The 17,958-nt window shown below is 38.9% G+C and overlaps 1 protein-coding gene across 22 annotated transcripts in view; it reads left to right on the plus strand.

The window, feature by feature from the left end:
• The window catches only part of NLGN4Y (neuroligin 4 Y-linked), a 323,039-nt gene extending 306,315 nt beyond the window's left edge, over positions 1 to 16,724 (plus strand). For all 22 annotated transcript variants that reach the window (NM_001394830.1, NM_001365586.1, NM_001365591.1 and 19 more), the window contains 2 exons: positions 800 to 1,589; positions 11,483 to 16,724. In NM_001394830.1, coding sequence (NP_001381759.1) covers positions 800 to 1,589; positions 11,483 to 12,332 — 1,640 coding nt within the window. In that variant the 3' untranslated portion in view covers positions 12,333 to 16,724. The remainder of the gene's footprint in view (positions 1 to 799; positions 1,590 to 11,482) is intronic.

A 17,958-nucleotide genomic window follows, 5' to 3' on the forward strand; every position in this document is an offset into this window, starting at 1 on the left:
AGCTATACAGAATTTTACTCCTAAAATTGCCCATGCTTTTTCAAGTTTCTCACCAAGTGGAGAATTTTTCCTATGTGGCAAAAAAATAAAAAAAAAAACAAAAACAAAAACAAAACAAAACAAAAAAATCTCTGAGTTACCAGTGGATATAGTTTTGAAGAAAATGACAAAAAATACTTGTTAGTTGGGTACCTGGTTGAGGATTAGGCATAGCTAAGCTAATGCATTTACATTAATTCCCAAACCGTAATATCTTCATTAGACGCAGGGTAGAAATGCATTTCTAAATTAGCACTCTGAAATTCATTCAACTGGATTTATTTTTTCCCATAATGAAGAGACACCTGGATTTGTTTGTGAGACAAGATAGCCTTTGATCTTTTACTAGTTTAAGGCCTGTTTTTTTGTTTGTTTATTTTCCCCTTTGGAAATGGGAATGTAGTTGCTGTTGCATTTTTATGTATGGCATCTGAAGGTAAGGAAGCAAAAATGACACTAAATTGTGGAAGAAAAAAAGAAATCACATGTATTTTACCAGTGCACGAAAAGCCTCAATGTGGTTTCATTTCCTTAAACTCGTGTGTGTGTGTGTGTGTGTGTAGAATAACATTCCCTAAAATGAATGTTCAGGGGGAGGGAATCAAAATGAAAATGGGTAAAAGAGCCCTCTGACAGAGCTGAATGCTACTACATCCAGAAATTCACATGCTTGCGAAACAATCACAGCCTTCATTGCTCAGTAAAAGCTGTTTCTGTCCTGCAGGTTTTCATTTGCATGTCCGCAATTTTGCACCTGCAGGTCTCTTCCAGAAGGCCATCATTCAGAGCGGCACTGCCCTGTCCAGCTGGGCAGTGAACTACCAGCCGGCCAAGTACACTCGGATATTGGCAGACAAGGTCGGCTGCAACATGCTGGACACCACGGACATGGTAGAATGTCTGAAGAACAAGAACTACAAGGAGCTCATCCAGCAGACCATCACCCCGGCCACCTACCACATAGCCTTTGGGCCGGTGATCGACGGCGACGTCATCCCAGACGACCCCCAGATCCTGATGGAGCAAGGCGAGTTCCTCAACTACGACATCATGCTGGGCGTCAACCAAGGGGAAGGCCTGAAGTTCGTGGACGGCATCGTGGATAACGAGGACGGTGTGACGCCCAACGACTTTGACTTCTCCGTGTCCAACTTCGTGGACAACCTTTACGGCTACCCTGAAGGGAAAGACACTTTGCGGGAGACTATCAAGTTCATGTACACAGACTGGGCCGATAAGGAAAACCCGGAGACGCGGCGGAAAACCCTGGTGGCTCTCTTTACTGACCATCAGTGGGTGGCCCCCGCCGTGGCCACCGCCGACCTGCACGCGCAGTACGGCTCCCCCACCTACTTCTATGCCTTCTATCATCACTGCCAAAGCGAAATGAAGCCCAGCTGGGCAGATTCGGCCCATGGCGATGAAGTCCCCTATGTCTTCGGCATCCCCATGATCGGTCCCACAGAGCTCTTCAGTTGTAATTTCTCCAAGAACGACGTCATGCTCAGTGCCGTGGTGATGACCTACTGGACGAACTTCGCCAAAACTGGGTACGTTCTTCTTCATGTTGGGGTATCACTGTCCTCTTCGCTTGTTTGGTTCCTCAGTATAAGTGTTGCTTCTACCGGCATGTGCAGGAGCACACATGCATGCACACATATACACATACAGACACAAGCTTACACACACAGCAATAACAGGCAGCTTCTCCCCCATCATCTGTGAGAACTCAAATTTTCTTTATTACCAAAGTGTTTTACTCCTAAAACACTTTAGTGTCAAACCAGATTTTTACTAGATTTCTAATTGCCCATTAGAAATTCTAGAATTCCTACTTGCAGGTGCAGGACTTACACATATATAATGGTTTTGTTAACAGCTGATCACTTTTGTTTTTGTTCTTACTGTTGTTGAAGAGACACAGTCTCACTCTGCTGTCCAGGCTGGTGTGCAGTGATACAACATAGCACACTACAGCCTTGAACTCCTAGGCTCAAGCCATTCTCCTGCCTCAGCCTCCTGAGTAGCTTGGATTACAGGTGACTGCCATGGCTGGCTAATGTTTATTTTTTTTATTTTTTTGTAGAGACAAGTTCTCACTCTGTTGTCTAGGCTGGAGTGCAATGGTGCAAGCATAGCTCACGGTGGCCTAGAAATCATGGATTTATTTGATCCTCACATCTCAGCATCTCAAGCAGCTGGGACTACAGACATGCACCACCATGCCCTTGCATGGATTTTTGTAGAGACAGGGTTTCCTATGTTGCCCAAGCTGTTCTGAAACTCCTGGTCTCAACGGATCCTCCCTCCTCACCCTTCTGAATAGCTGGGACTACAGGTGAATGCCACCATACCCAGCTAATTTTAAAATTTATTTTGTTAGAAACAGGATTTTGCTATGTCACCTGAGCTACCACTTGGGGAATTGTTTAGATTGCCTGACCATATGAATACAAACAATTGTCACAATATTTATAGAGAAATATAAATAAATATTCCTATATATATTTAACATATATAGAGAGAAAAGAACTATTCCCATATGTATAATATATATATTATATATATATTTGCATTTGTATATATATACACATAAATACCAGTATATTTCTGTGTATATACATATACAAATAGTAATATATATATACTATATATGCATATACAATATATAATATAGAAATACAAACAACTACAAATATATACATACTATATATACAAGTACAAATTTATGTACATATACATATATATTTGTATTTCCTTTGCTGTATAAATAGATAGAGAGCAAAGAAAAATATATGATATTTATATTATATTGTTATATGTCATGCATATATAAACACATACACACACATATGTCACAGGAAAGCTCATTTATTGACCTAAATATAGTAGAAAATATACAAAAAACACACATACAACAGAGACTGCCAATATTCTACTGAGTGGATTCTCTTCAAACCATGGGAGAAAAGAAACAAAAGCATCCTAAATAGGTCCAAATATTGTGGCATCTTTTAATTTTCTCCTGTCTAATAATGTAACTATGGAAATCAATGGAGTATCATTCTGTTCTACCTGTGTGTGCCACCATCATCCACCCTGAGTTTCTTTAAACTGAATAGAAGAGCAACATGTGCATGTCACCCAGGGAGGGTCAATCTTCCCATGTGGAATGAGGCTCTCAGACTGCAGTGGCCCTGCCACGCATGAGCTGTACACAGTAATTCTGATAAGATCAGAGGACACGATTTTTGTTTGTTTGTTTGGTTGGTTGGTTTTTTTGGCAAACATATAGCATGTTAGCATGTTTTTGAAGTGGAAAATGTATCATCTGGATATCAACTTTCCAAAATCAGACTGTGTAGATTTGGTCTGAGAATGGCTACCAGGAGGAGAACAGAGGAGGGACCAACAGTTGTTGGAGATGCTCGTCTATCACTGAAAGGTTCTTTCCTGCATGAAGAAATGATTTAAATCAAATTCATATTTTTTTTCTAAGTAAACCTTGTTTATTAGTTAGCTTGGGCTGCTGTTACCAGAGTGCCAAAATCTGTATGGCTGTGCCGGGCAGAGTGGCTTATGCCTGTAACCCCAGCACTTTGGGAGGCCAAGGCCGGAGGACTGCCTAAGGAGGTCAAGAGTTTAAGACAACCCTGGGCAACATAGTGAGAGTCTGTCTCTACAAAACAAATGATGCCCCACAAGCCGCAAAAACCAGCAAGTTTTTATTAGGGATTTTCAAAAGGGGAGGGAGTGTGCAAATAGGTGTGGGTCACAGACATCAAGTACTTTACAAGGTAATGGAATATCACAAGGCAAATGGAGGCAGGGTGAGATCACAGGACCACGGCAGCGGGGCGAAATTAAAATTGCTAATGAAGTTTCGAGCACCATTGTCATTGACAACATCTTATCAGGAGACAGGGTTTTGAGAGCAACTGGTCTGACCAAATATTTATTAGGCAGGAATTTCCTCTTCCTAATAAGCCTGGGAGCGCTATGGGAGACTGGGGTCTATTTCACCCCTACGGCCTCAACCATAAGAGATGGGCTCACCTAGGGGGGCTGTTTATAGGCCTATACTTCCAGGCGAGTATTCTCTTTCCCAGGGATGTTCCTTGCTGAGAAAAAGAATTCAGCAATATTTTTCCCATTTGCTTTTGAAAGAAGAGAAATATGGCTCTGTTCCGTCTGGCTCACTGGCAGTCAGAGTTTAAGGTTATCTCTCTTATTCCCTGAACAATTGCTGTTATCCTGTTCTTTTTTCAAGGTGCCCAGATTTCATATTGTTTAAACGCACATGTTCTACAATTTGTGCAGTTAATGCAATTATTACATGGTCTTGAGGCAACATACATCCTCATCAGCTGACAGGATTAAGAAATTAAAGTAAAGACAACATAGGAAATCACAAGCGTATTGATTGGGGAAGTGATAAGTGCCCATGAAATCTTTACAATTTATGTTTAGAGATTGCAGTAAAGGCAGGCATAAGAAATTATAAAAATATTAATTTGGGGAACAAATAAATGTCCATGAAATCTTCAGAATCCATGTTCTTCTGCCATGGCTTCAGCCAGTCCCTCCGTTTGGTGTCCCTGACTTCCCACAACACTCAGTATTAGGGTGGGAGTGATCCAATGTCCCAGGTGCCATCTGTTACCCCTTTCTTTGACTAGGAAAGGGAATTCCCTGACCCCTTGCACTTCCCAGGTGAGGCGATGCCTCGCCCTGCTTCAGCTCACACTTGGTGCGCTGCACCCACTGTCCTGTGACCACTGTCCGACACTCCCCAGTGAGATGAACCCGGTACCTCAGTTGGAAATGCAGAAATCACCCGTCTTCTACATCGCTCATGCTGGGAGCTGTAGACTGGAGCTGTTCCTATGCAGCCATCTTGGCTCCACCTACCAGTCTTCATATATTTTATAGAACCATTAAAACAATAGTGAAATCTAAATAATGCTGTTAAATTCTCATTAACTCCTCCTGACTCCCAAAGGCTATGATACTGAGGCTGGCTATGTCACTATTAAAAAAAAAAAAAAAGAAAAAAAAAGATACGAAAAGATAAAGGAAGTTAAATCATTTTATGAGGTGACTATTATCATGACTGGCATCAAATGGATGCTTTTACCAAGATATCATGAAAGTCTGAAAGAGCCGTGAGAATACCAGTGATCTCTCTGTTACTGAGTGCTTTTTAATGCCATGAATCTATTTCTTAAAGTCACCTGGTTTAGAGCCTGTGATTTCCACCCTGCATTTAGGGAGTACATTCACATTGCCATTTATGGTCTGTGTTGAGGGTGCTTCTAGCTTTTGTGAAGGCCCTGACATCACCGGAAGAGAGGAGGAAGGAAAAACCACTAGAACCACCAGAGCAGAGATTCTCTGATGCTACTCAAATTAAAAACTTCAGATAGAGAGTTCACTGAGGTAATGAGAGCCTGAATGTCAGTCTGTCTGAAGTCTCTATTTTTGTTTCTTCCATCCATAGGAAACATCCCTGAAATAACAGAGTGTATTAATGCAGTGAGTTCTTTTGTTTCATTAGAAATGTATTAGAATGACTCAAATGATTCATCAAGGAAGTTACTCAGAACTTACATGTCATGTGAAATGCATGATGTGGATTCAAATATAAATGTTTTAAGTGATCACACTTGTTTGGCAGCCCTATAAGAGAAAGAAATGAGGAATTTCACTGTTGCTAGTTATTTGCTTATTGTAAACTGGATGGTGGCCTGATCCCTCCAGGGCAGAGAAAGATTCCCTGGTCGTCAGGTGCAGAGAACAAATGAAACTGATACCTGTAAGGAGAAAACATGGGATGTATCTCATCTGCTGTCATGGTGTGACCTGGCAAGTTTAACACCATTCTACAGAGCACACACTCAGACAATGACTCACAGAAAAGGAGAGGGTATTTCTGCATATCCTCACTGTTCCCTTCCAGCACTGGAGGTGACAAGAGGAAACAAGAATAGCTCCCAGCGTGTCTGTCAGTACACAGTGCTGTGGAGAGAGGATCACATTGTGCCAAGACATACTTCCCCACTCTCAGTGGTCATCATGTCATGTGTTTTAAACCTGCAGGCATAGCACAGTCTCCTGATGACAAATGTTTGTGGAGATGAAGTGGATGGTGCCTGGATGCTTCTTTACAGACATCTCAAAGCAGATGGTTCTGATTCTTACTATGAGTTTAAAAGTACATATACCTGGTATGCATATACCTTTGGAATTTGGATGATCACAGAAAAATGATGTTGGAATGTGCATGTCAGGAAAAATTAGGAAGGGAGGATGAAGGGACTGAAGGAAGGAGAGTTGTGATGAAGGAAAGAAGGGAAGGAGGGAGGAAGGAGGGAGGAGGGGTGGGAGGGAAAGAAGAGAGAGAGAGGAAGGGAGGGAAAGAAGGAAGGAAGAAGGAAGGGAGGGAATCAAGAAAGGAGTAAAGGAAGGGAGGAAGTAAGGAAAGAAAGAGGGAAGAGGGAGAAGAGAAATGAAAGATGTAAGAAGGGAAGGAAGGTGAAAGGAAGGAAGGGAGGAAGGAAGGGAGGAAGGAAGGAAGAAAAGAAGGAAGCAAAGAAAAGAAAGTGAGAGAAAAGAAAGAGAGGAAGGGAGGAGGAAGAAAGAAGAGAGGAAGGAAGGAAAGAGAGATTAGGGAGAGAGGCAAGGATAAAAATGGATGGAGACAAAAAAGAAGGAAGGGAGAGAGGAAGGAAGGAAGAGAGGGAGAAAAAAGAGGGAATGGAGGAGGAGAGGAAGAAAGGATTGAGGGAAGGGAGGGATGGGTAAGGGAAAGAAGAAAAACAGGGAAAGGGAGGGTGAGAGATAAAAGAGGGAAGGGAGTAGGGGAGGAAGGAAAGAAGGAGGGAGGGAGGGACAATTGGATCCTTGCTTACAAATCATGTCACCTGTATATTTTCATGTTAATATTAGGTAAGAGGGCCCTCCCATCTTAGAAAGGCAGATTCAGCAAGCACACACAGTAGAAATGAGAAGAAAGTTGCTGCAGAAGCTCTAAACCATGAAAGCCTTGATCAAGACAGGATGTTGAAATCAGTGAATGTCAGGGCCTCAAATAATCCTTGCTATTTTTTAATTATTATTTTGAATAGGGAAGCAAGTGCCCAGGCCTGTGCCTGAGGGGGATTCTCCCCTGTAGCAAGGAGGTGTTTCAATGTTAGTCCAGGTCACGGGACTAAAATCATGCTTGAAGAGAACTGAGTAAGCCCAAACATGCAAAGCCATTGTAGAAATAAGGTAGATTAAAACCATTTTTGTAAATGAGAAGCACCATCAAGCAAAAGTGAAAACTAACTCTGAGGTTTGAAAGGGGCTCTAGAGAATTAAACTTATTTTCCTCTAAAATTATTTGGGAAATAGGAGAAAAGGGGTTTGTCTAAGCTGATCAATAAAATGCAGGTGCCCATTGATCCAGGATTCTCTCATTTTGAGCTCTATGTGGAAAGAGATCGGCAAAAAGGAGTGGGGGAACCTTGGTCTTTTTTTTTTTTTTCTTCCGAGACAGAGTCTTTCTGTGTCACACAGGCTGGAGTGTGGTGGTGCGATCTCATGTGATATCAGCTCACTGCAACCTCCGCCTCTGGGTTCAAGCAATTATCCTGTCTCAGCATCCCAAGTAGCTGGGATTACAAGCTCCCATCAGTGTACCCAGCTAATTTTATTTTTAGTAGAAACAGGGTTTCACCATGTTGTCCTGGTCTCAAACTTCTGACCTCATGATCTGTGCACCCCAGCCTCTCTAAGTGCTGGGATTATAGGCTTGAGCCACTGCGCCCAGCCAAATCTTGGTCTTTTTATAAGATATGACAAAGAGCAGTGCTTTAAAGTAATCAAACAATACATTATAATATGTAATAGAAGAAGTTGTGTGCTATTGGAAGTCAGAAATGGGAAAAGAGTTTTGTAATGGAAAATCAGATCAACATGTATTTTCATTTTTTATGTTGTTGCACTGAGTCTGAGGCTTGTACATCAGATTGATTTCTATCTTTTTTGCATCAGACACCATCACTGCTGTTGAATGTTCTCTATTCTATCGATAATTTATATTCAACCATTGCTAAATCTGTTGAGGAAAAAAGAAGTCCCAATGAAGTGTTTAGCAGGGATTGGTTACAGAGAGTTGCAGCATAATTCTAGTTGTAAAGGTGACCTTTAGTACCAAAAAGGGATTTTAAGCTGAATGAATGAACATCCTCCCCTGGTGTGGTGGAGGAGTCACTGAATGTATAATAAACTAGTTTGCTAACAATGTTTTGGATATAAGGAAAACCTGTACTACTTAAAGGAACAGCTGAGAGTGTTCATGGATATTTTTAGAGAGATCATAGTACTATATCCATCTCTAGCTAAAGAAATGAACAAGACCTTAGAAATGCACTTGAGTCTCTCCTGCCAAGATTACATCTCAAATAGAACAGGTGGAAATGGCTGTGTTAGGTGCTAGGGGATAAGGAGGAAGACAGGCATTGAGTCTTTTACTAGAGACACCAACTAGTGTTTCTATCCTCAGTCATTACAATCTTTAATTTTACTCACAGGAATTTAAACATTTCTTATGCTGAATAAAAACTAAAAAAATAAAACACTGATATCACACATCTAGACCTCACTGTCTGCAGGGTTTGGTAAGGGAGAATGACGTGGGCTGTCATAATCTCCACAAGCTTATCAGTGCTTAAGAATTCTGGCTATGCATCCCTGAGATCTTTAATAGACAGATTACATCGGGCAGCAGCTCACTTATCTGGATTTCCCAAATCCTCTCCTTTATTCTTCAAGAATACATGTTTTTTATTTATTTTTTAAAGAACAGAATAAATGTTTTTTCTTTACCTTTCGAATATACCCTGAATCCTTCAAAAATTGCCTAATAGTCAACATGAACAGAATACTCCTTTTCCTAGATTCTCACTGCTTAGTAGATGAGATAGCCACACATCTAATAGACCCAATTTAGAAAAATTGGATCCATGAAAAAAACGAGGAATCTTCACTTCCATTTGTTTCTTTAGAACACTAAAAATTAATAACAAATATTAGTACGAAGTTTTTCCTAAAATATTTATTCATTTATTTTTCTTTCAACACACATTAAGTAAAAATTTTATAATTATTTCAGAAGGCTTAAAGAAGCAAAAGAAACATGAGATGATAAAATGAATCCAGTGTTTTTTCAAAGCCGTATCAAAATGTATGCATAACAAATAAAAAGCAGTAGACTTTTCAAATATATTTTTTATGAATAAATATGAGATCTCATGGTATTCAAACTTATGTGATTTTATATATATATTTGTTTTCACCCTCTTAGTAACGTGAAAGCACGGCAGTTAGTGTGCATTCAAGTAAAAGGTAGAGGTCAACATTCTTTTTCTTCTCTATTACATTATACATCTTATATCTGTATCTATAGATAGATATACATGTACACATATGTACATATGTTATACATACATATATATACTGCATATAGTATATGGTTAGTATACAGTATAAACTCTGGTACACAGTATACTTATATATAGTATGTAATATACAGTATACCATTATATACTCTATAATGTACATAATATAGAATTATAGTATGTACTATGATACACAGTATATCACTCCATCACTCCCTAGTTCCCCCTCCCTTGCAATATTGTAGGTGTTCTAATTTTTATATTGGAAGAGAAGGGATAATATTTCCTGAATTCTTACCATATGTCAGACATTTTGTCATTATCTTTCAACCTTCATCACGTGTCTCCAAGCCTGATATTCTTATTCTCTATGTAGATGGGTAAGTTAAGGCCAACAGTGGCTGGAAAATTTGCTCAATATTTCACAGCTGTTAATGAGCCAGAGCTTCAGAAATTTGAATACAGGGACATTATTTCCTTTACGACCACCACAGACTCAGATTGAGGGGAGAAAATCTTCCTTTATCACATGTGGCATCTCTGAGTCAAGTATATTGTTCAAATCCTGCACAATATCTGACAATGACTAGACATATGCTCTTCCTTGGTCCTGTAGCCTTCTGCCATACAGGTCAATATGCAATGGTTGGAGGCAACTTCACAAAAGTCCCCCTAAGGAGGAGTTACCTGGAGGATGGACTTTAGATTACACCTGGAACCATTGATCAGGATGTTGCAACTCCCTGCCTGCCTGGGTCTGCACATTACATCTCAATGCTGAGTACTAACCATTAGATGACATTTTACCATGCACAATCTCAATTTTTTGTAACAATTAAACCTTAAGATGTAATTGGTTTTATAGCTTACTTTATCAACCATAAGGAAAGGTAGAAATGAGAATTTGGTATATTTGTTTTTTGAAGGGGAAGTGTTATCTTAAAAGGGTTAGTTGCAAAGATGTTTAAAGGCTCTATGCTTTATGAATTATCTCCAAATTTTTATGATTCTCCTTCTACCTCTGCCCACTTGTGCAAATAATAATAAGATAATTCTTCAGTGTATAGCTTCCAAGCACAATTTAGCATCTGCAGCAGCCCTCAGCTTGTTTCTGGGTGTCTTATTTATACTAAATATGTTAACCTTGGCGTAAATATATGTACCATTTTAACAAACTTCTTACAGCTGCTGTAATGTGCTTTCATCTTTTCTGGACTCTGTCTTCAAAAATTGTCCACGTGTGTATGTATTTCACTTTCAAATAGAGAGCAAACAAATGATGCATGTGTTGACTTGCAGCTTTTAATTATAAATCCTATTTTATTTTGAGTGTTAATATCAATTTTCATTGCTGTAACTGCAATATCTGTTCATTTACTTCAAATGCAATTATTGAGTAAGAAAGAGAATGCCCACTTGTTGAAAAATTCTTAATCAGAATTTCTCAGCCTGAGTACTGTTAACATTTGGGTCCAGATAACTTCTTTGCTGTGGGGGTCTCTCCAGTGCACCAGAGGGTGTTTAGTAGCATCCCTAACCTCCACCCTTCATAGGAACTGCCCTCTGTCTACAAAAACCAAAAATGTCTCCAGACCTTCCCAAATACCCCTCTGGGGCAAATCACTCCTGGATGAGTTTTGCAGTTCAGAAACAGTGAAACTTGAAATACTGAAATTTTTCCCAGAGACACTTAGTTTTCCTTTATTTTTGAAGATCATTTGATGCATTAAAAAATAGTAAACATGTTATAAAAATTGAATAATGATGCTGTCAGGATTTATATTTAAAAGAAAAATAAGAGCAATTTTTAAAGGAAAAGACAACATGATAGACATGCCTAGGATGAAAGCAGAATGTACCTTTGCTGCTTGGGTATTTTGTGCTCATTGATAAATATATATGAAGAGCAGATTGTAACTTCCTGATTTATTGGTTTAAGATAATTTCATATCACATGTGGAAGAATATGACCTTTCTTTTTTTCTTCCTTCTATCCCCAGTGATCCAAACCAACCAGTTCCTCAGGATACCAAGTTCATTCATACAAAACCCAATCGCTTTGAAGAAGTGGCCTGGTCCAAGTATAATCCCAAAGACCAGCTCTATCTGCATATTGGCTTGAAACCCAGAGTGAGAGATCACTACCGGGCAACGAAAGTGGCTTTCTGGTTGGAATTGGTTCCTCATTTGCACAACTTGAACGAGATATTCCAGTATGTTTCAACAACCACAAAGGTTCCTCCACCAGACATGACATCATTTCCCTATGGCACCCGGCGATCTCCCGCCAAGATATGGCCAACCACCAAACGCCCAGCAATCACTCCTGCCAACAATCCCAAACACTCTAAGGACCCTCACAAAACAGGGCCCGAGGACACAACTGTCCTCATTGAAACCAAACGAGATTATTCCACCGAATTAAGTGTCACCATTGCCGTCGGGGCGTCGCTCCTCTTCCTCAACATCTTAGCCTTTGCGGCGCTGTACTACAAAAAGGACAAGAGGCGCCATGAGACTCACAGGCACCCCAGTCCCCAGAGAAACACCACAAATGATATCACTCACATCCAGAACGAAGAGATCATGTCTCTGCAGATGAAGCAGCTGGAACACGATCACGAGTGTGAGTCGCTGCAGGCACACGACACGCTGAGGCTCACCTGCCCTCCAGACTACACCCTCACGCTGCGCCGGTCGCCGGATGACATCCCATTTATGACGCCAAACACCATCACCATGATTCCAAACACATTGATGGGGATGCAGCCTTTACACACTTTTAAAACCTTCAGTGGAGGACAAAACAGTACAAATTTACCCCACGGACATTCCACCACTAGAGTATAGCTTTTCCCTATTTCCCCTCCTATCCCTCTGCCCCTACTGCTCAGCAATGTAAAAGAGACAAATAAGGAGAAAGAAAATCTCCAAACCAGGAATGTTTTTGTGCCACTGACTTTAGATAAAAATGCAAAAGGGCAGTCATCCTGTCCCAGCAGACCCTTCTCATTGGCATTTTCCAGTATTGTGAGATCAATTTCTGACCATATGAAATGTGAAAAGTATATGTTTCTGTTACAATACTGCTTTAAGATCTAAACCATGCCAACAGATGTTTCGTGTGACTAGGACATCACCATTTCAAGGAACTGTGTGTTTCCAACATCATGGTAGCAGCACACACTTCCAAAGCTCAGCCAGGGACACTTAATATTTTTTAATTACAATGGAAATTTAAACATTTTTATGTGGGCTACACAATGGATGGCTCTTCTTAAGTGAAGAAAGACTCTATAGGCTTTTACACAGCACATGAAGCAGTAATCCAGAAAGAAGGAAATGCAGAATTTTATTATCAAAGTAAGCGAATTGACTGTGCAGAAAAATTGTAGGGTTCTGTGGAAGGAGGTATTCTGCCAGCCTGAACTATATTTAAGAAACTTTGTAAAAAATAAAAATGTATATAGCTGTGAGCTCAAACAAAAACTGCAGACAAACAAAAAAGAGAAAAGCTTTTATTTGTGTTTTCAGTTTGAAAGAACTTTTAGCAAGGTTGTGCTTTCAAACACATATTAGTCCTACCACCTTAGTTCCTCTACAGCAAAAGAGGCTTTTCTTCTTAATTACATGTAAACAAAGACATGGGATTTTCTGACGTAAGATTTTCATTTGTAGGAATATGTGATGTCAAATGGAAGACTCAGAAGTTTTGTGTGGCCTATTTCTCCCTGTCAGGTTGCACAGATGCATGTAGAGCATTCTTAGGAGACCATTGTTTTAGAAAACTTTGATTTGTACATGTTAGTTTTCATGAAATTGCAACACAGAGATAGGTCCTAAAAGTGGAATGTATTTAAAACTTGTTGAATTAGACACACACACACAGACACACACAAAGAATCAGCAGAGAAAACAAAATACAAGTCCTGTTCTGTAGTTCTTGCCCTTTGAATATATTTGGGAAGAGTTGCTTCCTATTTCAGGACCCTGCCAAAAAAGAAGAAAGCTTGCCTTTGGTGGGGCTATGCCCCTTGGAGTAAATACAGCTCTGTGTTCCCTAGCAGCTGCCGGAGGATTTGGCTGATGAAGTACCTGCTCAGCTTAGCTAATCAGATTAAAGGAAGACATGTATGTCTTTTGTTTAAGCACCTAGTCCCTTATGTATCAGTAAACAGGTTTTTAAAAATCTTTTATGTCATTTATAGGATAAAACATATGCTTGTCTGAAAATATCACCTTTTGTGGATTTATCTGATCACCAAATAATAAATATTAAGAAGAATGGGGGAAAAAGGATAGAATATTAAAACTGCTTTGCATAGGTTTTTGGGGAAATTAGGATATCTTCACTGACAAGACACTGAATGGAATTTATTCACCCATTTTAAATTGGTTACTTGGGGATCAGAGATTTGTCTCTCCAACAGCTTGTGGTTTTCTTATTACTCATTTTCAGGAAAGTTTGTAGTATTACAAGGCAGAAGGAAACACAGTAGCAATGGTTGCTCTATATTTTGTCTTTCAAAGATTACTGCATTACCAAGAAACAGTAGCCAAAGATGTTTGAAGATCATGTCCCTTAGCTGCATTGTGGGTTATTCTAGAAATCCAATGTTAAATGCCTCTACTAAAGTGGGGATTCCCCATAAAAATTGTCCAGCTACCTGACTCTTTTGCAATAACAACTTTGATTACTGAATCCATACACTCAAACTATAGTGATATATCAGTGTTTGGGAGTGACCTCTAGAAAAAAGAAAACTGTTTTTAGAAATACATAAAATCACTTCCAAATCCTGTTGCTTATGTTGGGTTAAATTTGAAAGCAATTCTCTATATATAAATATGTGAAATATTATGATCTGAACTTAGCACACATGAAGCAACATTTCTTTGCTACACAGAGGTGTCTTGGAAAGATTTCATTCCCAATTCATTTTTCATAGATCTATAATCAGGCAATTTCTGCAAGCAATGTATGACCCCACCTGAGCAACCACAAATAGGCTCTCCATGAAACTGCAAAGGAACTGATGTGTGGCATCCATGCTGGTTTTGTCTGTCTATAATATGAATTCAAGTATCTGTTCATATTTCCAATTGTCTCCTGCTAGCAATATGTGCCACAACATGACAGTCTTGTGACATCTTAAGGAAAAGAAGAGTTCCTGTTAAATGAATAGCTTTAGCTTTTACAGGGGATTATGATTAAAAGTGATTTAGTACATCTTACATGATATCTCATTTCTACGTGAAAAGAAGTTATAGAATCTTCATAGAGTTCCATGAGAAAAATATACTTGCTATTTATAGAAAACGAGAAAAAAGAAAAAAATGAGAAACAAGTAAGAAAAAATCCTTTCCTAGGCTTTTCCTTGATCTTCAGAGGCACACAGGGTTTAATGGTTCCTTAGGTTATTATTTTGAGGTTTTGTTCTTTCTTTTGCCTTAAGTAATGACAGAAGATATATATGGCCAGACACATATGTATAAACTTTTCAGCAGCATTTTAATAATAAAATATCACACTATTTTCTAATGCTTTGTACAAACAATTATGCATCTGTTCTTTCTTGGTAGGTGGAATATTTTATTTACTTTTGCCATTCTTTGAATGCCTTTTTCTTTGTAAATGCTACATGGTAGCTCTCACATAGGCTACAAATGGATAAATACATTTGGTAATGGGATGGTTTCTTTAGCTTTGGCCAGCTGCACAGTTGAGGAGGCTCTGCTGGCCTGATTTTGGAAAACCAAGCCCTGTTTGGTGAAGCTCCTGAGATGACACTGCCTGAAAATGAGTATTTGGTTGTGTTATTTCTACCACTGTTCATTCTTGTGTCTCTGTGTTTTGATTTGTGTTCAACAAACTGATGCCTTAATGGTTTCAAATAGAAAGCCTTAGGTGAGTAAACCTTCTAGTGACAGTAAGAAATTCTACTGAATGAAACTCCAGAGGCAGAAAATCATTGTCATTCCAATGGGAGCTCAATTGTCAATTCCTTCCTGTGCATTCAGCCATCACGAACTTATTTCACATTCACAGTAGCTCTAAGGGGCAGGCACCTGCATTACTCCCCTTTCATAATGGAAGATGTTCTGACTTTGAAACATGCCCCCTTGGACAGGAAAATTTGATGGATAACAGGATAGCATATCCTCATATCCCAATCTTTCACCAAGAAGTTATACAGCAAACACTTGTAAGTCAAGGTCTTGCATGATAATCTTTGCTAAGTAGCAAGTAAAGAAATATAGCAAGGACCCAGACTCTTTGGAATATGTGAACTAAATCCTTCAGATGTTGTTGGCCTCAATCATGTTGTGAAGGCACACAGGAGAATACATACACACACATATGCATATATGTATATATGTACATGTATGTGTACATTATATATGAGTATACATGTACCTATCCTATATATGTATGTATGTATAGAGTCACAGACTGCATAATGTTTTGGACAAATATAGATCACATATATGATGATAGTGTCTTGAGATTAAAATACCATGTTTTTATTGTACCTTTTCAGTGTTCAGATATGTTTAGACAAACAAATGCTTATCATTGTGTTACAGTTGCCTAAGGTCTTCTCTCCAGTCACATGCTGTACAGGTTTGTAGACTGGAAGAACTAGGCTATACCATAGAGCCTAGGTGTGCTATAGGCTACACATCGGTTTTGTGTAAGTATACTACATGATGTTTGCACAATGATGAAATTGCCTAACGAAACTTTTCTCAGAAACCTATTGATACATGACTGTGTATGTTTACATTATATATACTGTATATGCACACATGCATATATGCATATATATGTTATACATTTACATATGTACATGGATATCACATACTTTAAATTCCTGAAGATGTCATTTTCATTAAATACATATGCACACACACTCATAAACACACACAGACTCATATATACACACAAATCTATAACACATTTGTGCTCACATATACATTCCTCTGTGTGTGTGTGTGTATTACATTACTGCTTTTTATCTGTGAAATCACATTCTGCAGTTTCATTTACTGTGATCAACTATGATCTAAAAATATATGAGTACTTCAATAAGATATTTTGAAAGAAACCACATTCACATAACATTTATGACATTATAATTGTTCTATTTTATTAGCTATTGTTCATCTCTTACTCCATCTACTTTATAAATTAAGCTTCATAATAAGTGTGTATATTTAATAAAATATATAGTATATAAAGGGTTTGGTACTATCTGTGGTTTCAGGTATCCACTGGGAGTCTTGGAATGCATTCTTTTTGGAAAAGGAGCGTTACACTATATACTTACATATAGACACAGATGCATATATACACATACATAATTTACATATATAGACATATTCGCAGATATGAATGTACTTAAATCTCTAAGAATGGCACTTTTATTAAATGTACACAAATAAACATGTATACACATACATATATATATATATATATATACACACACACACACATTTAACTGAATGTCATCTTCAGGCATTCAAAGCCTAATTTTTAGCAAATTTCAGCTGGAGGGAGAATCACTCTTGTTTTGACTATTTTATGCATTCTTGTTCATTTTGAATAACTCAAGGAATGCTAAAAATTATATGCATCCATTCAGTGAAACTTTACTGAATATCTTCACTGCCTCAGGCCCTGTGCTGGGCTGGTGTTAAAATTGAAGAACAAACTTCTCACACCACAAAACTTGAGGGGAAGGCAGAGAAACACAGAAGCAAGGAGAGGCAAGGGGTGCTGGAGATGGCACCCATGTTAATAAGGGGTGCTAATAAATGTCTGGACACTGCCCTTAACCTAGTCTGGGAAGATCAGGAATACATTCTGTCTGAAGAAACCCCTAAGCCAGGTCTTTCCAACTCTGTAGAAAAAATACTAGTGGGTGGTGTGTTGTGGGGAGGATAGAATTACACATCTTTGAAGTAAGAAGACAGACGAAGACATAGGAAGACATGGCTCCTGCATCATGGGTGAAAAATATAAGGTGTTTTTTAGAAAGGTGTGAAAAATGAGACAGAAAGAAATTGGCTGATAAAAAACCTCCAACAAATGAGACAGAAAGGAACTGGCTGATAAAAAAACCTCCAACTGCAAGACAGGGAGTTTGGGCTTTGTCCTGAAGTCAATTGAGAGACACCAAATGATTGCACCAAAGTGGATTATGAGTGTATTTAGTTGAGACATTTAGCAGTAATTCTCAAAAGTTCACATGCTTAGGAATACACGGGATGTCAACTTAAAGTACAGATCCTTACTGAATTGTGGTTTGGTGAACCTGTGTCTGAATTTCCAAGACGATCTCTAAGTGATGCACTTGTTGCTCATTCTCAATTAACCCCAACTTATTTAGGTTGCAAAGGATGGAGAACTGTTCACTTTAGAAGTAACCATGAGGATAATCTGCATTGGAATGAGAGGGTTCTGGATGCAAGG

Source organism: Homo sapiens, chromosome Y (assembly GCF_000001405.40).
Source record: "Homo sapiens chromosome Y, GRCh38.p14 Primary Assembly".
Classification (NCBI taxonomy): Eukaryota; Metazoa; Chordata; class Mammalia; order Primates; family Hominidae; genus Homo; species Homo sapiens.